General features: G+C 48.5%; 3 annotated features.

Moving 5' to 3' along the window:
- Positions 860-1,428: an enhancer, noted in NCBI's record as "OCT4-NANOG hESC enhancer chr3:197090769-197091337 (GRCh37/hg19 assembly coordinates)". NCBI's record gives its function as "activates a minimal SCP1, AML or CMV promoter by ChIP-STARR-seq in primed H9 embryonic stem cells {active_cell/tissue: H9 hESC(primed)}" and the evidence as "EXISTENCE:reporter gene assay evidence [ECO:0000049][PMID:30033119]".
- Positions 14,933-15,446: an enhancer, noted in NCBI's record as "H3K4me1 hESC enhancer chr3:197104842-197105355 (GRCh37/hg19 assembly coordinates)". NCBI's record gives its function as "activates a minimal SCP1, AML or CMV promoter by ChIP-STARR-seq in naive H9 embryonic stem cells {active_cell/tissue: H9 hESC(naive)}" and the evidence as "EXISTENCE:reporter gene assay evidence [ECO:0000049][PMID:30033119]".
- Positions 15,447-15,959: an enhancer, noted in NCBI's record as "H3K4me1 hESC enhancer chr3:197105356-197105868 (GRCh37/hg19 assembly coordinates)". NCBI's record gives its function as "activates a minimal SCP1, AML or CMV promoter by ChIP-STARR-seq in naive H9 embryonic stem cells {active_cell/tissue: H9 hESC(naive)}" and the evidence as "EXISTENCE:reporter gene assay evidence [ECO:0000049][PMID:30033119]".

The following is a 21,360-nucleotide window of genomic DNA, read 5'->3' on the forward strand; positions in this document are numbered from 1 at the left end:
TCCCCCGCCAGCACTCTACTGCATTAGAGGGCCTCATCGTCACTGTTGCAGGAGAGGCCTTATGGGTGTCTTGCTTTGTTAAAGATTTAGTGGAAAAGAAGGAATGGAGCTTGGAAAGGCCTGTTTTTGTTTGTTTGTTTGTTTTTTGTTTTGTTTTGTTTTGTTTTTCCAAGGACCAGTCTGGGAAAGATTGGTCTTGTAGAGAAGGAAATCGGGCATCTGCGAGGAAGCCAGACACAGGAGAGTGACTTCACGACCAGGAGGTCTTTTCTGAGAGCAAGTCATCTGAGCAGTTGCCAGGGAGAGTGAGACTCCCTAGGGGTCTTCTCGTCTTTTCCTGCTGCTCAGCAGCTCTCCTCTCACCCCTAGAAATCAAACCCTACTCTCCTAACATTTATTCATGCATTCACTCAAGTAACACTTCCTGAGCCTTTACCTTGCCTAGGGCCCTGGGTTGGACTCAGTCATAAAGGACCCAGAGATTAATAAGAGGTGTATCCTGCCCTCTCAGAGCAAATGATACAGTTGGGAAAGGTAGGTGTGTTGTTGGGAGACCAGGGCTCCCCAGAGAAGCAGGCCTCATTTTCTTCTGCCTCTATCTTGCCCCGTCAAAAGGAACCCAGTGAACTCAGCAGGAACACTGACTGCCACAGCAGGAACCTGAGGGAAAAGGTATGGTCTCGGGGCTGAAAGGCAGAAGGAAAATGCGCAACCTGTGCAACTGTTCCTAAAGACCCTGCTGCTGACGCATGCAGAGAATTGACCCTGAGCTGCCTGGAAGAGCAGAATCAAAGTGGTGGGAGGCTATGAGGAGGGAAGTCAGGAGCCAACGCTCGAGGGGAATCAAATCCAAGTGACTCTCGCCGACCTGTGGTCAGAAAACCAGCCCAGGAGTCAGAAGCTGGGAACAGGAAGAAGGCAAAGAATGGCAAAGAATGTAATAACATGGGCAATAGGAAATGCTTAGCTGGGAGTATTAAGGGCGTTTCTTATGGGGTTTGACTTCCTGGTGCAGACAAATGAGTGAGGCAAGAAAGGAATAGCTTATTGTGGAGGGGCTATTTTTTCTGTTTCTTCTTTTCTTACCTACAAATCTGTAGGGCAACAGGGGGCAGAAGCCGAATCAATAGTGGAAGTTACAGGGGTCTAATTGCAGCTAAACAAAAAGAGGAGATTGCTAGAACAACCACAGCTCCCTCACAATGAAGAGGCTCTCGGGGCCCGTCAGCTCTGTCATTCCTTTAAAGTGCTCAGACAGAAGCTGGGTAGCTCCCGTCAGGGATGGCGTGTGGTGGGGGAGTCAGGGGGCTGCTGATCATGGGCTCTGAGGGGATTCCCACTCTTACATTGCATTGAAGTGGGTTTTTGTTTGTTTGTTTCAGACACGGTCTTGCTCTGTCATCTAGCCTGGAGTGTAGTCACGAGATCAAGGCTCACTGCAGCCTTGACCTCCCAGGCTCAAGTACTCCTCCCACCTCAGCCTGCCAGGTAGCTGGTACTATAGGCACAGGCTCCCATGCCAGGTTAATTTTTCTTTTTTATCTTTTGTAGAGACGGGGTCCCACTGTCTTGCCCAGGTTGATCTAGAACTCTGGGGCTCAAGCGATCCTCCTGCCTCAGCCTTTCAATGTGTTGGGATTACAGGCAGGAGCCACTTTGCCCAGACACGTTAGAGTTTTGAGTGCCGTGTTTGACACAGTCTCACAGGATCGTCAGAGGTCTGTTCGACAGTTTGATGGCAGGGCCAGACTCAATAGGTGCTTAGAGTATGTGTGTGAATTCTTCTTAGTCTTTGATCTAGTTTAGCAAACATTTCCCTCTGCCCTTTCTCAGATCTCCAGCCTAATGGAGCACAAACAAGCTAGGGATGAGGGTAGAGGGCTGGGTGGCTGAGAGTCATCTCCATGCTGGCACCTGGCCCAGGGCATCAGGCTGGAAGTGTTTCCCATGTGCCGTAGTGGGAAGTAGTGGGAGGGTAAGGCTGGAAAGCACTGTCTAGAGAAGCTGTTTAGTTGCATCTCTGTCAGGACCACAAGCCCACAAAATGCCTTTGCATGGACTAGAAAAAGCACCCTTCTCACCGCCATATGGACACAGCTCATTTTGACTCAATGAGAGGAGGAGGTCTGGATTTCAATTCTTACTTGCCACTTCTCGTGCAGTAGATAACCTGCACAACGGTACTCAGTGGGCCCTGTCCACCATCCCACTGTCCCCTCCAATCTGTGTTCCTCCATGTGCTACAATCTCAGGACTGGACTTAAAGGAGAGCTGGAGCAATGAATAAGAATGAACGGGAGGCTCCAGGAATTGTTCCTTCTCAGAAATCAGCCATCTAGAAGGCACAAAGCCACACTAAGTCAGTGTCTAATATTAAGACTGCTATCTCTGCTTTTCTGGGCCTTTCCCAGAGCTGCCGAACACAGGGGAGGCTGAGGATAGAGGGATCCCTTCCAGGAACAAATTCCCAGATGCCTTCTTCCCTCACTAGTCCATTAAATGCACTTGCCCCTTTACTTCTACTGAAATACTTACGTGTTAAATAGCTTTCATTTATGTATAATATAGAGCTTCAATATCTGTCCATAATTTTATTCTGTCCTAAATTTCAAGTTCCTATAAAGTGCAGACTCTGCAATACATGAGTAATCGTGCTCAGTAACATGCCTGACAACTTGCCATTGGTGCTTTTAAATGATAATGATGATGGTGAAGCTCAAATTCCTCACCCTGTCATTCCATACCTTCCATCATCCAGCCCCGTAACCGACTCCCCTTCCTACCCCCATCATTTAGTTTCAACATCCTATATAACAGCCAAACTGGCCTGCATTCCTTAGACATCCCATCTCTGCTGTCTTAAGCTGTTTCTTTTATCTGCATATCCCTTTCGCCTTTCTTCTCTCCCTGAGTGTCTAAATCCACTCCTGAGTGTTTCTCTGGAGGGTCAACTCTAATACTGTTCCCCATGATATCCTTCCAGATTCCTTGTGCAGGAATGACCTGGTGTCTTTGCTCTCCCACGATTCTTCATTTCAACTTTTTTTTTTTTTTGAGACAGAGTCCTGCTCTGTCGCCCAGGCTGGAGTGCAGTGGCATGATCTCGGCTCACTGTGATTTCAAGTGATCCTCCTGCCTCAACCTCCTGAGTAGCTGGGATTACAGGCACCCGCCACCACGCCAGGCTAATTTTTGGATTTTTAGAGAGATGGGGTTTCTCCATGTTGGCCAAGCTGGTCTCAAACTCCTGACCTCAAGTGATCCACCCGCCTTGGCCTCCCAAAGGCCTGGGATTACAGGTGTGAGCCACCGCGCCTGGCCATTTCAACTTTTTATGGATAGAATTACATTTTCCCTTGTATCGTTGCTCTCTGAGCAAGTGACTGCTTCCCCCGGTAATCTGGGGCTCTGAGAGAAGAGGTTGTGTCTCTTCCACCTTCCTCTCTATAGGGTTCACCCCAGGGCTGGGCACCTGGTATTTAGTTCTGTGACCTGGACAAGTCCCATCCCTGCTCGTCAGTTAAGTGAGGGGTTGCATGAGATAATCTGTAAGGTGCAGGGTGGCTCTCTGGTCTGTAGCTCGCTAAATGCTCACTGAATGAATACAAGGTTGGAAGAGGGCAGCCCCCATCAGAGGAGGGAGCACTGGAGGATTTGCTATTTATAGAAGCCTGAAATTCTTGGATTGCCAAGAAGTTGGAAATTCAAACTGGTTAGTCCTGTGTACCAGATTTTTCTCTTCTCGTGAATGGGAATGGCATTAAGTGACTCAGAGTAGTTGGCACAAGGACACAATCTCTGTTCTTCAAAGTTGGCACTAAGAGCTCCTCCTGCGGTTCCCCTTCCTCTCCTCGAGCAGCAAAGGCGTGGTCCACAATGCCCACCCTGTGGGGTCTAGGGGTGCCCGGCTTGCTGACCTCCAGGCCCCCTCTGTGGCGAGGTTTGGACTGCATACATGGTGCAGGCCCCTCATCACTGGAGCTGCCAGGACAGCACTGGAGACCCTAAGCCAATACCTATTTTTGGCAATAATTATCAAGCATTTGTAAAAGCCCGGGTATGCTGGCAAATCTTTTTAAAATAAGAGCTTATTGTCTCCTCAGATTCCTGGCAGTGACCCAGCACGGTACAGTAGCTGTGATTCAAAGTGTGTAGGCACCCAGGGCCTGCGATGAGTCTTGGCAGCTGTTTAGTTCTCCCTCCTTGAACCCAGAGGGTCACAGCCACCGAGAGGAGGCATCCACACCCCATTCCCTCAGTCTTCCAGAATGCCACTGTGACCACATAGCTGCGGGCTTCTCTGCCTTGTAGACACGGGCAACCATCAAGGCCAAGGCATTTGGCGGGAAGCTCCAGAGCTGGGGTCGGGGCAGGGAGGGGCCACGCTGGGACTCTGCTGGCCCAGTACGGGGGCAGATGCTGTCTTAAGGGCTGGCAGAATGGGGAGAAGGGGTCCAGAGGGGAGAGGAGATGAGGGATGCCCCAGCTGACAGAGGCCCAGCTGGGCTACTGACTCACTGTGGCTCTTAATCTCCTGTGGAGGGCAGGCCCAGCTCCTGGGAGCCTGGAGGGCTTAGCAGTGTTTGCACAGCTACAGAAGTAGGGCCTGTGGGCTGGCACGAAGCCCTGCTGGGCCACAGACAGGAGGGTAGGAGAGCGGAGCAGGGCAAGAGAGAGGAGTGAGACGCAGGATGAGTTCCCTGGAGAGGGAGAAGTGAGCCTCACCAACCTGCAAAGGGAGTGTTTGCAGAGAGACTGACAGAGAGATGAAGCCTGGGTGGGGGTGGGTGGGGGCGGGTGGGGGGGAGAGTCAGGTAAATCAATATGCATGAGGCCAGTCCAGACTGTGCACCCCGGTCTAGAAAGAGACGGGTTGTGCATTTTTCAGCTTTTCATAACTGGGCCAAAGACTTCAATTTTCCCAATAAAATGTATGGGACCTGCTCAAGAGCCTAATAAGTTGAATACATAAACAGAAACTCCAGGTCCACTTCTGAACCCTCATTCTCTCCCTTTCTGTCTCCTTCACTCCACCGCCTGCCCTCTGACGGCCCCTGGTCGTCACTTAGTTCTCTCCTCTGTCTCATTGTACAAAAAAGAGATGGGAATAAAAATGCCTCCCTTTTACCTTGCTCTCCAAATGCTGAGAGAGTGATGAGTAGAGACCCAGAATGGAGCACGTGTGTTCCAAGGCTCTGTGTACAATGCTGAGCTTTGGCACAAAATGTGTGGCATGGAGATGATGTTCGAAAGAGTTTCAGGAGGGTTTCTCTTCTTCAGGAGGGTTTCTCTCTCCTATACATCTTGTTGCTCTGGGGCTTCCCATTCAGGGGGTTTCAATGCTTCAGGGAAGGAGCTCAAATCTGCCATTGCTGAGGTTTCACTGTCGAATTAAATTTTCGTGAATCCCAAACATGACAATAGGCTCAAAAGCCAAGTGCTAAGGAGAGGGGATTTTCTAGAAGCCTGGAGGATTAGATCACAGAGTTTTGTGTATGGGAGATCCCTGCAAGGCAGGAAGGGGGAGGGGGAGGCAGCTCTTTTATTTCCAAGGATGGTGGGAAAGGGGGAGGTGGGCATTCAGATGAGCACGGGTCTTCCTGGGTTCCAGTCTGGGAGGAGATGTGTTCAATAAGTTGAGGGGAGCACTCTGTTCTCGGGTATTTGGGGTATTATTTGCAAAGGATATTTGGTCTATTTGCCAAGGTATTTGGGGGTATCTGTGGCCACATCAAAGAAAATGCAGCATATACCATGGGAAGTCTCTGCATACTCTAGAGGCTGATATGGAACTTAGCTGACAGCCCGGCTGGTATCTTGGGAGTTGGGGGAGAGGTTTGTGCCTGGTATTGTAGCCAAGAGCAGACGGCCTGAGTAAGTCTGTATGGAAGTTCAGCCAGACCTCGGGACCTGTGGGGCACAGAGAAAATCCTGAAGGAGACAAGTCAGAGACAACTGAGCCCTGGCCAGACGGCAGCAGAACATCCATCTATTACCTGTGGCCCAGAGCAAGCCCTTGGGCTAGAAGCTGGTAAACCCAGCTGCACAGTTGACTCCCCTGTGGATGAGTCCCAGATGCCCAGGCTCCATGCCTAAAGGTTTGGATGGAATTGGCCTGGCACTGGTATCTTTTTAGAAAGCTACCCAGGGCTTACACACCAGTGAAGTGAACTACTTCCTTCAGGAATAGAAATATCCTCCAAACCGGCTGGGTGTAGTGGCTCACGCCTGTAATCCCAGCACTTTGGGAGGCCGAGGCAGGTGGATCACTAGTCAGGAAATTGAGACCATCCTGGCTAACACGGTGAAACCCTGTCTCTACTAAAAACACAAAAGCAAAATTAGCTGGGCATGGTGATGGGCGCCTGTAGCCCCAGCTACTGGGGAGACTGAGGTGGGAGAATGGCGTGAACCCAGGAGGTGGAGCTTGCAGTGAGCCGAGATCGTGCCACTGCACTCCAGCCTGGGTGACAGAGCGAGACTCCATCTCAAAAAAAAAAAAAAAAAAAAAAAAGAAATATCCTCCACACCAGGGCAAACATGAGGGTGAGGCAAGTGAGGCACCTAGGATGCAAAATTGACAGATGCACTTACTGTCAAGGTCATGTAAGTGCTGTGGTCATGGGACCTTGAGATCACCTCCTTACCTATTGAGGTTAGATGCCTCACTGCCTCGTCCAGCCCTGGCCCTGCTCCACTCTCCTCTCCAGGTAGGTCCCTTCCCTGGGCCCAATTTTTCTTTTTCTTCTTTTCCTTTCCCTTCCCTTCCCTTCCCTTCCCTTCCCTTCCCTTCCCTTCCCTTCCCTTCCCTTCCCTTCCCTTCCCTTCCCTTCCCACCCCCCTCCCCCTTCTCTCCCCGCTTCCCTTCCCCTCCCCTTTCCCCATCCATCCTTCCCTTCCTTTTTCTTTCTTTCTGACAGGATCTCACTCTGTCGCACAAGCTGAAGTGCAGTGGCATGATCACAGCTCCCTGCAACCTTGACCTCCTAGGCTCAAGTGATCCTCCCACCCACCTCAGCCTCTGAGTAGCTGGCACCACTGTGCCCTGCTAATTTTTTATTTTTTGTAGAGATGGGGTTTCACCATGTTGCCCAGGCTGGTCTCAAACTCCTGGGCTCAAGCCATCTGCCCGCCTTGGCCTCCCAAAGCACTAGTGTTAAAGGAGCCACCGTGCCTGGCCCCTGGGCCCAGTTTTTAGAAGTAACCCCAGCTATGAGTCCCTCTACTTTGGAAGCCATCTGAAGAGCACAGATGAAAGTTTCATGGGGCCAAGGGACCAGCTGGGGAATCGGTTTGGGAAAAGAGTTGGCAGAAAACCAAAAAATGAGCAGATTAAATTACTACCTTAACCACTTTGCTGGTTTCTGGGATGAGAACGACATGACATGACTATTAGCTGCCAGATGCAGCTTCGTCATTTCTACCAGCTCTCCAAAGCCATGACATTTTGGTTTACTGACTGTAGGGGAGGGTGGACTAGGTCCAGGGTTCTTTAGAAAGGAATTCAAGTTACACAAACCAATGTGTGTTCACGGTCTGTTGCAGTCTCAAAGAAAAAGTGTGTGTGCCTGCCTCCAAATAGCATGTGGGTGAGACTCGGGGGGCCTTGCATGGCTCCTGGTTGCTCATCATCTGTCTCACCCAGAAATCCATCCCAGCCATGGTGAATCAGAATTGTCACCATGGAAGGCAGACCTTTGAGAAGCATTTGGAACCGCTCAGTTTGTTAGTGTGAGCTCAGGGCTCCAGTGAATGGTCCAGTACTGTGCATAAGCCCAGGGCTTGACACGCTAGAACAAATGTGTCCTTTGTAAATAAGAAGTGACCTTTGTTTCCCTCTGCCCCAGCGTCCCCCTACCCTTGCTTCATCCTGGCCTCAGTACTGACCCTGGATCCCCCAGACAGAAACCTGACCTGGCCTTGCCAATGGAATTGGACACCCTAAGCCACGAGAGAGCTGGGATGGGGGCATCACTCCGTGTTCGAATACAAAGTCCTTCTTATTGGGATAAGAGCGAGGGCCCTGGCCTGTAGGAGCAGAACTGTGTTCTAAACTGCCAGAGCACCTTCTAAAGCCTGGTTTTGGCCGGGCACGTGGCTCATGCCTGTAATCCCAGCACTTTGGGAGGCTGAGGTGGGTGGATCACCTGAGGTCGGGAGTTTGAGACCAGCCTGACCAACATGGAGAAACCCCTTCTCTACTAAAAATACAAAAAATTAGCTGGGCGTGGTGGTGCATGCCTGTAATCCCAGCTACTCAGGAGGCTGATGTAGGAGAATCGCTTGAACCTAGGAGGTGGAGGTTGCAGTGAGGTGAGATCACGCCATTGCACTCCAGCCTGGGCAACAAGAGCAAAACTCTGTCTCAAGAAAAGCCTGGTTCTGTTTCTATCACCCCTTTCTCAGCTTTGGCAGTGGTAGGAAAGTTATCGCAGAGGAAGGGTTGGTAGACAGGGGACTAGCATCTGGTCACGCCACTGACTCCCAGCTGCTGCTTAGGGTCCTGTCGGCAGCCTCTGGCCCAGGTCACAAACCTTCAAATCCTGAAGCAATTTCCTTTAGAATAATCAATCATTTGAGGTCTGACTTCCTTCAGATCTGATGGCTTATTCAGGTCTACTGTAGAGGGGATCTGCCTGTTCTCTGGGCTCTGGAGGTGATTAACATGTGAGCAGCTGTGGAAGCTCTCTAATGAACTAGGCCACTTAAGCTCAAGGAGTTCTTTCTCTCTCTGCGGTAATTTCTGCTGAGAGAAGCAGCATCAATGACCCATAAAACTCAAGAGCTTTTTCCCTTACCCATTTGCTGGGATCTATTAATCTCATACCATAGCCAGCAGCTAACCCATCTGCAAGACACCTGGTCTTGATTTAATTAATGTGCAAAGCCAAAGAACATCAGGCAGGTAAAAATCTGCAATTAACAACTGTCTCTCAAGATTTTCTTTGTTGGGTCCTGCTTCTCCCCCTTTCAGGCAGAGGGAGGGATGAGAAGGAATCAAAGGCAAATACAGTTTAATTCCATCTTGAGTAATTGCTCCGGAAAGGCTCTAAAAGAATTGCTGGCTGTTTAACTCAGCAATTTGAACTTGCATTTAGGAACATCATCAAACTGTAAGTGCTTTGATCTTTTTTATGCTTCTGTACATAAGAAAACCAAACACGCCCAATTCCTATGCTGTGTTGTCATAAGAATTAGAAACTCTTGGCACACAGCTGTCAGTAAGAGGTTCGGGAGGGGCTGGCTTTTCTTGAAGGAGGAAACAGCTGAATGCCTCAGAGTGAGCATCAAAAGACAGGCCAGGAGGCTGGAGCTCTGGACTCTGTTCCCAGTGGCTCCCGAGATGACACTGGGCAGGACATGCCCCTTCCTGGCCTTCATTTTCTAGTCTGTAAAAGAAGGGAGTGGAACCAGATGGTTTCCATATTTTGAAGTCCTCCCTCCCCAAACCCCTAGGCTCTGCCATTCTTTGCTTCTAGGAAACACATTCCTTTCTCACACCGCAAACCCAGAGGTGAGGGAGGTTAGGCAATGGCAAAGGTAACTAGGCACAGAAACTTGCTCTGCGGGCTCGATTAGCAACACATTTCAGGAAAAGGTCAGCAACTGTGGATTCTGAGATTTCTTTGAACAGTTACACCTTGGATAGAGTGTAGAACCTGTAGCCACAGAGGACAGCAAAATTAACTGGCCTGGGTCGGGGATGTTTGGGGCACCTGTGAGCTCAGCCTTAATCAGCGTCACATGCTCTGCAGAAACACTAGAAACCCACCAGGGTTTTAGGCAATCAAAAGCAATGCCATTGCTTTCCGTGTTATTGTACGCTCTTCTTCTTTTGGGGTGGGAGAGCAGAACTGGGACAACAGGGGCAGTAACCTGTTCATTCATTTCTCTGCTCATGCATTCACTCAGCAGATGCTAAACACCTACTATACACAGGCCCTAGGGATGCGTAGGAACTGGATGAAGCATGGCCCAGAGGCTGCCAATGGTTCTCTGAGCTTCGCTTCTTTGACACTTTCGGGTTATGTATTAGATCTGTAATAAGAGGCTGGGCGCAGTGGCTCACACCTGTAATCCCAGCACTTGAGGAGGCTGAGGCAGGAGAATCGCTTTAGCCCAGGAGTTTAAGACCAGCCTGGGCAACATGACGAAATCCCATCTGTAAAAAAAAAAAGCTTTTTTAAAATTAGCCAAGTGTGGTGGCACGTGCCTGTAGCCCCAGCTACTCAGGAGGCCGAGGTGGCAGCATCACCTGAATGTGGGGTCGGGTTGGGGTCGAGGCTGTAGGGAGCTGTGATTGCACCATTGCACTCCAGCCTGGGTGACAGAGTGAAACCCTGACTCAAAAAAAAAAAAAAAATCTGTAACAAGAGAAAGCCATTCACAAGGAAACGTATCTTTTTTCTAGCTCTTAATGAATAATGAGCCGGACAACCACAGGTCCTTAACTAAGTACGCTTATCACTGTCGGTAGAGTTCCTATTTGTCCTTCAGAGTCCACCTACTTCCCCTGGAAAGCCTCTCCTCGTATTTCCGGGCAGACATGATCTCTCTGTCTTCTGGTCATCAGTAGCATTTGGTTGGTCCCACTCAGCTGGCTGACGCTCAACTAGCACGATTTTTTATTGTGCCTGTGTTTTTCCTCCTTTAGACTGGTAGCTCCTCAAGGGCAGAGACTATTGAGGCAGAAGAAGAATGAGACCATGAGGAAGTGGTCAGTATCCTGGCTATGAGTCTGTATTAGTCTCTAAGTTTTACCATGCAGGGAAACTGGGTAAAGAATACAAAGGATCCCTCTGGGTTATTTAGTACTACTGCGGATTCATCTACAATTATTTCAGAAAGTTTCATTAGAAAAAGATGCATGGACTCATAAAGCCTCAAAGTTGAAAGCAACTCAAGAGGTCACTTAGCCCTGTCATTCTCCAACATGTGAATTTCTGTGACTGCGTCTCACCCACAGATTCACCCAGCCTCCTTTTCAAATTCTAGTAAGGGAGAATTCACTGTCTCATGAGAAACAGCATTACTTTTTAAGACAATTCCATTTTGAGACAAAATTGGCCAGGCTGTAACTTCCTTCTTGGGCCCACGTGAATGCATTGGTCTCTTATCCCCATGACAACCCTTCGGGTATGTAAAGGTGATCGTTATGGCCTTCTGGGTCTCCTCCAGGCTGCAGGGTTTCAGTTCTCTGAATTTACCTCCATAATTTTGAGTTCTTGTAGCATCCTTGAGTCTTTTTATCTGCATGCATGCACTTTTTTTTTTTCAGACAGAGTCTCACTCATTCGCCCAGGCTGGAATGCAGTGGCATGATCTTGTCTCACTGCAGCCTCTGCCTCCCGGGTTCAAGCAATTCTCCTGCCTCATTCTCCCGAGAAGCTGGGATTACAGGCGCCCACCATGATGCCTGTATTTTTCTATCTTTAGTACAGATGGTGTTTCACTATGTTGGCCAGGCTGGTCTTGAACTCTTGACCTCAAGTGATCCACTTGCCTCAGCCTCCCAAAGTGCTGGGATTACAGGCGTGAGCCACCACACCCAGCCTATCTGCATGTTCTTTATATGTTACTATGATCCGAAGCAGGATTCTGTTTCAGATCATAGTAACGTTTGAACTTGCTAATGTAGTCCTTACCTGTATTCAAGCCAGTAGCATCAGTAGCGTTCTGGCCAGTAAAACACTACTGGTTTGAATACAGTTAAGAACTACATCAGCAAGTTCATACTAACTCTATACCATTGACTCATATTAAATGTGAAGTCCACAAAAACCTTTCAATCTTTTAGTTACACCAGCTGCACTCAAACTCTGCTTCCCTTATGTTGGTGATTATTGTTTCGTTTTATTTTGTTGACTCAGATGTGGGACTTTATATTTCTCTATACCTGGCTGCAGTGCCACAGATTCATCAGCTGAAAACATGCGGGAGGTAAGTCTGTGTACATGCTGCGTGGGCTGGACTGCACCCACAGCAGCGTGCCCAGAGACATATGAGTACTTCCAGCGCTGGCAACCCTGGGGTATCGCTCATTGTTGTCGAATAGCAGAATCAGTTTATTTTTATTGCAACTATTGACTGTGGAACAGCTTAGCAGAACCTCCTGGGTTTCACAACTCTTCCGGCTCTATTACATATGCGTAACGATGCCAGCCTGGCTCCCATCCTCTCTCCCCATCCCCACAGAGATGCCTACGGGGAATGAGAGCATCGGGTTAAAGCCCCGTGTTAAGCATCTGGGCTCAGGGAGACAGGGAGGATGTGTCTGTGGGAACTTAGAGGGCACAGCCATCTCACCCACAAATAAATGAGAGGAGAAGGCAAGGATTGTAGCCTGTTTGGAGCACAGCGGGAAACATCACCTGCTTATGTAAAACCTGTGAGATTCAGCTCTTTCTGGGAAGGCATAAACTCAGTCTAGAGCCCCAAGCTTCATCTTACCCTGTGTTCTTTTCCTTTGCTTATCTCAGCATCAGAGCACTGTTGTGTTGGCCCATGAGAGAGCAGGGGAAGTATATCCTCATCTCTCCCCGCATTTAAACACCTGCAAATGCATTTGAACCAGGGCCTGAAGTAGAGGCGGGATTCTGACAACAGCTAAAGAGGAAGGGCACACCAAGAAGACAGGTCAGTTGTGTCAAGATTGTGGCAGGAATGGAATCCAGGATAATAGGAGCCTGGGAGGCCAAGGCTGCAGTGAGCCAAGATTGGACCACTGCACTCCAACCAGGACAACAGAGCAAGACCCTGTCTCAAACAAAAACAAAAGCCCCAAATGCATGCCTACATGATGCCTTCCTGAGTTCTTTCGATGAGTGTAATCTCTCTCTTCTCTGTGTTTCTCTCTTCTGTCTGAGCAAAGCCATCATTTGCAAGCTCCACCATCCTGACAGGGTTCACAGAGGAGTGTTACACTTGGTATTGGGACTTGCCTCATGTGGACCCTATTTTGTCCCGCTTCCAGCTAGTCTATGTCTGTGGCCTACTGCTTGGTGTCCCCCAACATCCATTCTTCCCTTTTTCCATAGCAGTAGACATTTTAGCAGAGCACATGGTCACCCAAAATAAATAGGATTCCCAGGCTTCCCAGCTAGGTGTGGCCATGTGACCAAGTTCTGGCCAACAGGATGTGAGGTGCCCGCATGGGGAAGGGGCCTGTCCAACCTGGTTCCCTTCTGCCTGTCCACGGGTGGAATGCGGATGTGGTGGTGAGTTATGCTGAACAATGCACATGAGGGCGACAATCTAGACATGCCAGAACAAGAAGAGAAAAGAAGCTTGAGCCTCCAATGACTTCACTGAGCAGGGTCATTTTATCAGACTTCACTTAATAAATACATGTCTTTTTTTTTTTTTTTTTGAGATGGAGTCTTGCTCTGTTGCCCAGGCTGGAGTGCAATGGCACGATCTCAGCTCACTGCAACCTCTGCCTCCCGGGTTCAAGTGATTCTCCTGCCTCAGCCTCCCAAGTAGCTGGGACTACAGGTGCCTGCCACCACGCCCGGCTAATTTTTGTATTTTAAGTAGAGATGGAGTTTCACCATATTGGTCAGGCTAGTCTCGAACTCCTGAACTTGTGATCCACCCGCCTTGGCCTCCCAAAGTACTGGGATTACAGACATGAGCCACCGCACCTGGCCCACGTCTATCTTTTTAAAACCACAGTTACTCTGGGTCTCTGTGCCATGTAGCTGAGCCTGTATCCTAACTAATATAGCATCCCACCCCACTTACGCTTGGCCTCCATGGGCTTCCCCCTCTCCGTGCCTCTCTACCCTCCAGCCCACTGCCTTAGCTCCCAGCCTCTTGGCTTGTCCCTCCTGCCTTGCCCTGACCCAACCTCCTGAGAGGCTTTTCTGGCACTGCCCTGACAGGCAGGCATGTCAGGGGCAGAGTACTGGGGGTCAGGCTGGCATTTCCAGATTCTGTTTGCTTTCAGCTCCAACCCTTGCTCGTTGGGTATTAGACACTAAGCACTTCGTGTCTCCTGAGCCATCATCTCGTCAACTTGGTCTCCCAGTAACTTACTCATAGCAGGCCCTTAATCAACGTGTCTAGATCCCCATCCCAGGATTCCTAGAGCTCCACAATGAGTCCTGAATGGTGCCAAATGCTGTGGGCTCATTACTAGCTTTTCCCAGTTATTGAAGCCTATCCAGCTGGAAAACGCAATTGGATCAATAAATCAACTTGCCAAATGCTTCCCAACTGGGGCTCTTCCAAGAAGTTTTTCTCTCCAGTAAAACGGGGAGCATTATGGCATCCAGTCCTACTCAGTCCCAGGCACCTCAGCTTCCCTGAGATGAGCTATGCCCACCTACGACCTTGAAGTGTTAAGTGACACACCCAGAGCAGGTTAAGTCTTAATCACTGATCCGAGAAGAAAGACTTGGTTAGTACTGTAATTCCAGTAACACTTAAAAATAACTTCTCCTGGGGAACTGAGTGGGAAAATTGACTGGGAAATACAATGGAACCCCTTAATTAAGCAGCTGATAAGAGAACAGGTGCACCCCCTGTGCTAGACTTTCTAGGGCGAGGAGAGCTGGAAGACTTGCTCCTGTGTACCAGAGGGCATGGTTTCACCTGCAGCATCAAATCGGGGGAAAAGGAGACATGTTTGGGTGGGACTTTACCACCCCCTCTTCCAGTGACTAGTGTGGAGAAGATGCAATAGAGACTCAGAAGTCATTGGATATAGGCCAGGCATGGTGGCTTACGCCTGTAATCCCAGCACTTTGGGAGGCCAAGGCAGACGGATCACTTGAGGTCAGGAGTTCAAATCCAGCCTGGCCAACATGGGGAAACCCTGTCTGTACTAAAAACACAAAAATTGGCTAAGCGTGGTGGCACATGCCTGTAATCCCAGCTACTCAGGAGGCTGAGGCAGGAGAATCACTTCAACCCAGGAGGTGGAAGTTGCAGTGAGCTGAGATTGCGCCACTGCACTCCAGCCTGGGTGACAGAGCGAGACTCCGTCTTAAAAAAAAAAAAAAAAAGGAAATCATTGGATATAGAGGACAGAGCATCAACTCAGAAGTGAGAAAACCATGTCCCGAGTAGCAGCTCCGCACTTCCTGCTTCCTGGGTGGCCATAAGCAAGTCCCCGAAGCTTCCTGGCTCATTCTCCTCATCGTCCTAGTGGGAGGAGGCGATGACGTGTTCTCTGAGCCCCTTGCAGTTGCAGCATTCTGGGAGGCTGGTGCTTTTCCATGGTCATCTGCTTCATGGTTTCCTTCAGCAGCTCTCTGCCTTTACCCCAGCCTTGCTATCCACACTTTCCGATGACTCCTCACTCCTCCCTGCCGTCTGCTCCTCCTGTCGCTGAATTAGACATTCAAGCACACTCAGAGTTTTCCATAAACACAGAATCGCATGAACAGCAAACAGAGAGGGCCTGGAGGCGGACGCAGCACGGAGCCAGGTCGCTGTGAGCCAGGCTCTGTCGCTGCCTCTCGGGCCTGTTATTTATTGGCGCCGGCTCTGAGCCCAGCCCCGTGCCGGAGCGTAGGGAAGGCAGGGAAAGGTGCTGGGGTTCCTCTGTTCATTTCAGTAATTTCTTCAGGACTCTTGAGTTGTTTTCGTTCTATTTTTCCAGCCAGTTCCAAAGTCTTACCACACATCCTCACCACCTCATTCAGTCATTGACATGGTCCTTCTCTTTTTTTTTTTTTTTTTTTTTTTTTTTGAGATGGAGTTCTGCTCTGTCACCCAGGCTGGAGTGCAGTGACGCAATCTCGGCTCACAGCAACCTCTGCCTCCCGGGTTCAAGCAATTCTCCTGCCTCAGCCTCCCGAGTAGCTGGGATTACAGGCACCCGCTACCATGCCCGGCTAATTTTTGTATTTTTAGTAGAGACGAGGTTTCACCATCTTGGCCAGGCTGGTCTGGAACTCCTGACCTCGTGATCCACCCTCCTCGGCCTCCCAAAGTGCTGGGATTACAGGCGTGAGCCTCCGCGCCCCGTCCACAGTCCTTCTTTAATTCCTCTTTTTCCCACCTGACTGAATCATTGTAAGCTCTCCAATAATGGCTTATGAGCCGGTAATAATAGTGACTGGCTCCCAAAGGAAAGAGTATCAAAATGATCAGTATCTGGATGCCGCCTGCCGGCTCCGAGCGCACTTACTCAGGTTCTCTGTGCCACAGCAACAGCTTGGCTTTATTTCATTAAATCCCTGTTTTGCCCGTGGCAGATGGCAAAAATAGCCACAAGAGTTTCACCTCGTCTCATCAATAGGGGAGCCTATTTCCCCACTCCTTTTTTTTTAAATTGTGATAAGATATACGTACCATAACATTTACCATCTTAACCATTTCAGCACGTACCGTTTCGTGGTATTTAGTATGTTCACACTGTTGTACCATCGTCACCACCATCCATCTCCAGAACTTTCTCATCTTGTGAAACTGAAAGCCTGCACACATTAAACAGCCTCTCCACTTCCCCCTCCTGCAAGGCAGGAGAACTGCTTGAACCCGGGAGGCAGAGGTTGCTGTGAGCCGAGATCGCGCCACTGCCCTCCAGCCTGGATGACAGAGCAGAACTCCACCTCAAAAAAAAAAAAAAAAAGAGAAAGACCATGTCGATGAGTGAATGAGGTGGTGAGGATGTGTGGTAAGACTTTGGAACTGGCTGGAAAAATAGAACGAAAACAATTCAGAGTCCTAAAGAAATGGAATAATACAATATTTGTCCTTTGGTGTCTGGCCTATTTCACTTAGTGTAATACCTTCAAGGTCCACCTATGTTTTAACATGTAGTAGAATTTCTTTCCTTTTTAAGGCTGAATAATATTCTGCTGTTTGTATACAACACCTTCTGTTTATCTATTTATCTGTCGATGGACATGTTGATGGCATCCACCTTTTGGCGACAGTGAATAATGCTGCCGTGAATGTGTATGTCGAATCCCTGAGTCCCTGCCTTCAGTCCCTGGGGTACACATCCAGAACTCGAATTGCTGGATCATATGGTGATCCTATGTTGAATCTTTTGAGGATTCACCATTTTCCACAGCAGCTGCACCATGTGACATTTCCCACCAATAAGCATTCCAAGTTTTCCATATCCCTGCCAACACTTATTTTCTGTTTGTTGTTGTTGTTTATTTTTTATTTGAGTTTTATTTTTTTCTGAGACAGAGTCTCGCTCTGTCACCCAGGCTGGAGTGCAGTGGTGTGATCTCGGCTCACTGCAACCTCCACCTCCTGGGTTCAAGCAATTCTTCTGCCTCAGCCTCCTGAGTAGCTGGGATTACAGGTGCGCGCCACCATGCCCGGCTAATTTTTGTATTTTTAGTAGAGACGGGATTTCACCATGTTGGTCAGACGGGTCTCGAACTCCTGACCTTGTGATCTGCCCGCCTCGGCCTCCCAAAGTGCTGGGATTACAGGCGTGAGCCATCGCGCCCAGCCTGTTGTTTATAATAGCTATCCTGGTGAGTGTGAAGTGGTATCTTGTGGTTTTGGTTTGCATTTCCCTAACAATTAGTGATGTTGAGATTTTCATGTGCTAGTGGCCATCTATATATCTTCTTGGGAGGTTTATAAGTTCCCCACTCCTTGGGGAGTGTGAGCCACTAGAGTGACCAACCATCGTGGTTTGTCCAGAGCTTTATCAGTTTTTGTATTGAAAGTTTTGCATCTTGGGAAACCCCTCCGTTCTGGGAAAACCGGGATAGTTGATCACCCAGCTGGCCTGTACCTTCCTTGATCAACAGAGTGCATTAGAAATGACAGTGTACAGGTTCCCAGCCTAGGCCTCAAGGGGCTTTGACGCTTCCTCCCTTGCTGCTCTTGGGAATCTGCTGCTGCATGAACAAACCTGTGCTAGCCTGTGCTGGTTGATGAGAGACATGTGACTGGCCAGCCCATAACTCTTGCTAACAGCCTGCTAGCGGCCAGACATGTGAACGGGGCCATCCTCAATCATTCAACTGCCAGCCGACCTGCCAGCTGACTGCAGGTGCATGAGAGCCCAGCAGCACTCAGCCAAGCTGGCCCAGACCAGGAGACCTGCCCAGCCAGCCCACAGAACTGAAAGCTAAATAAATGACTGTTGTTGTAAGTCGCTATGTTTTGGAATGATGTGTTACTCATACAGGCCCACATAAAAGATGCTTTGGCCATTGTCCCCATAAGATCTTTGCTGTAGACAGGATACTCCTGCCCCACCATATTCCTATTCAATCATTCTTCATGAGAAAATCTTTACCTACTTTTTTATAATAGCCTGGCCACGGAAGCAGCCAAGAGACCATTCACTATCTCTGCCAAAAGCCGACAAAATCCTTCCTCTCATCCAAGCTCTTTGTCCTTCCCTCATCATCCACTTTTTACTGAACAAAGAGAGATGTGCTCACTACATTTAAGGGCTGAAATGGCAGGAAGAGCCCTTTCTGGCAGTGTTGCCAGACACTGTTTCTGACAGGGTCTATTTTTCTCTTGCCTCTATTTTTCTTCCTGATTACAACACACCTGGGAGAATTTCTGACTTGCTTGAAATGCTCTTTCTACAGTTGGCTGCAGCTTCTGTGCCAATACTCCTGTTCAGCCTGCATGGTTCCCTGCACGGTTGTGATGGAGATGAACTGTTTTCACACAGGAGCCTGATCATTGTAGCTTCTGTGACTGTTTCAGAGCTCTTCACAGTGTCTCACTCGGGAAACTTGAAGTCAAGCAAGAGTCTCAGGAGTCTTCTTCTGAAGGAGATCTGCTTTCTGCTGGAAAGTTCCGGCTCTTAACCCTTTCAAGAAACACTGAATTGTTACTTATTTATTTGATAATGAGGGCACAAAATATGCAGAATGTTTCGTTTTCCTTTTTTTTTTTTTTTTTTTTTTGAGACAGAGTTTCACTACTGTTGCCCAGGCTGGAGTGCAATGGCGCGATCCGGGTTCAAGCGATTCTCCTGCCTCAGCCTCCCGAGTAGCTGGGATTACAGGCATGCGCCACCACGCCCGGCTAATTTTGTATTTTTAGTAGAGATGGGGTTTCTCCATGTTGGTCAGGCTGGTTTCAAACTCCTGACCTCAGGTGATCTGCCTGCCTCAGCCTCCCAAAGTGCTGGGATTACAGGCGTGAGCCACTGCGCCTGGCCAGAATGTTTCTTTTTCTTCCTCTATTCAGCCCTTGAGGGACCCTTTCACCTGCAAACTAGCTGCAGCACTGCCCTGGCCTCATGGACTTTGGATGGTGGAACTGATTCTTAGCCTCAGAGTGATAAGAATTCCATTCCAGGGTTCTTTCCCTAGTCCTGGATCAAGAAAGATAGAGCCATACAAAGTCAGAATTTCAAGAACTTTTGAAATCAACTGTCCCAATATTGCCACATTACAGATGGAGAAACTGAGGGCCAGACGTGCTCAAAGTCTGGAAGTGACCTGCCCAAGGCTGCCAGCAAGGTGGTGATGCCTAGAACCATGACCCTCTGACCCCCAGTTTGTACCATCTCAACTACCAATTGCTGCCTGCATTCTCCAGTTTTCCAATAGTGCTTTGGTTGATTTTTGAAAAATGGATTAGGAGAAGTAAAAGGAAGCCAAGGGTTTTCTGCAGACCAGCCTGTTGGGCAGCAGAGCAGAGGGCAGTGCCACCAAGGTGAGAGACCTCAGAAAGCCTCCTTCCATCTTCTCCTTGATGTGAGAATATCCATAGGACAGAAACTCAGAAAGGAAAGGGAACGAGGTCCTTCACCCACGCCAGCATATGAACAACTGTAAGGAGGAGAACACCTTCGCCTCCTTGCCTTTTAATTTTATTTAGTAAACACATTTCTTATGAATGGACACAACTTTTCCAGAGGAAAACCCCTTAAAGAGTAAATGTCTCTGTTTCTGTTCCTTTTTTTTTTTACTTTTTTTTTGAGACGGAGTCTCACTCTGTAGCCCAGGCTGGAGTGCAGTGGCGTGATCTTGGCCCACTGCAAACTCTGCCTCCTGGGTTCAAGCGATTCTCCTGTCTCAACTTCTCAAGCAGCTAGGATTACAGGTCCCTGCCACCATGCCCAGCTAATTTTTGTATTTTTAGTAGAGACAGGGTTTCATTATGTTGACCAGGCTGGTCTCGAACTCCTGAACTCGTGATCCACCCGCCTCGGCCTCCCAAAGTGCTGGGATTACAGGCGTGAGCCACCGCACCCGGCCTTCTGTTCCCTTTTGACTCTTCTCAAGTTTTCATGTTGTGTAACCAGTGTGAATACTTTTCAGCTACCTTTTTTCTTTAATATCATTTCATACTCAGAAATTGTTGTGTGAATACAGTCCTCATGTTTATGAGGTTTTTTGTCTGTTTGTTTGTTTCTGAGATGCAGTCTTGCTCTGTTGCCCAGGCTGGAGTACAATGGTGCGATCTTGGTTCACCGCAACCTCTGCCTCCCCGGTTCAAGCAATTCTCCTGCCTCAGCCTCCCAAGTAGCTGGATTTACAGGTGCCCGCCACCATGCCTGGCTAATTGTTGTATTTTTAGTAGAGATGGGGTTTCACCATGTTGGCCAGGCTAGTCTTGAACCCCTGATCTCAGGTGATCCTCCCATCTTGACCTCCCAAAGTGCCAGGATTACAGGTGTGAGCCACTGTGCCTGGCCTGTGAGTTTTAATTATAATACTGTATTTATTATGTGAGTGCATCCTAATTTGCTTTCCAATTTGCATCAGGTTGAATATTTGCAGTAGTTCTAATTCATTAGTATTAATAACACCAATATGATTATTTTTGCATCCATAGCTCCTTTATCCCTTTGGGTTTATTTATTCAGGGTGTGCTTCTGTATCCGTAGGTAGAATGATTCAATCAAGGTGAGGTCTCGGCTCTTGCTATTACCTTGCCAGATTATTATCCGGAAAGATGCAACCAATTTGTAGGGTCTCCAGTACCATTTATTTATTTATTTATTTATTTATTTATTTATTTATTTATTTATTCATTTATTTTTGGAGACATCTGCAAAGCATTTGGAATAGTTCACGATCCATAGTGTATTTGTGATAGTTTACCATCTACTATCTGCAGCTCATTTGGGATAGTTTACCATCTGCAGCGCATTTGGGATAGTTTACTATCTGCAGCGCATTTGGGATAGTTTACCATCCGTAGTGTATTTGCGAGAGTTTACGATCTGCAGCGCATTTGGGATAGTTTACCATCTGTAGTGCATTTGTGATAGTTTACCATCCGTAGTGTATTTGCAATAGTTTACTATCTGTAGCACATCTGGGATAGTTTACTATCTGCAGTGCATTTGGGATAGTTTACTATCTGCAGCGCATTTGGGATAGTTTACTATCTGCAGCTCATTTGGGATAGTTTACCATCCGTAGTGTATTTGCGAGAGTTTACGATCTGCAGCGC

This window comes from Homo sapiens, chromosome 3 (assembly GCF_000001405.40).
Source record: "Homo sapiens chromosome 3, GRCh38.p14 Primary Assembly".
Lineage (NCBI taxonomy): Eukaryota > Metazoa > Chordata > Mammalia > Primates > Hominidae > Homo > Homo sapiens.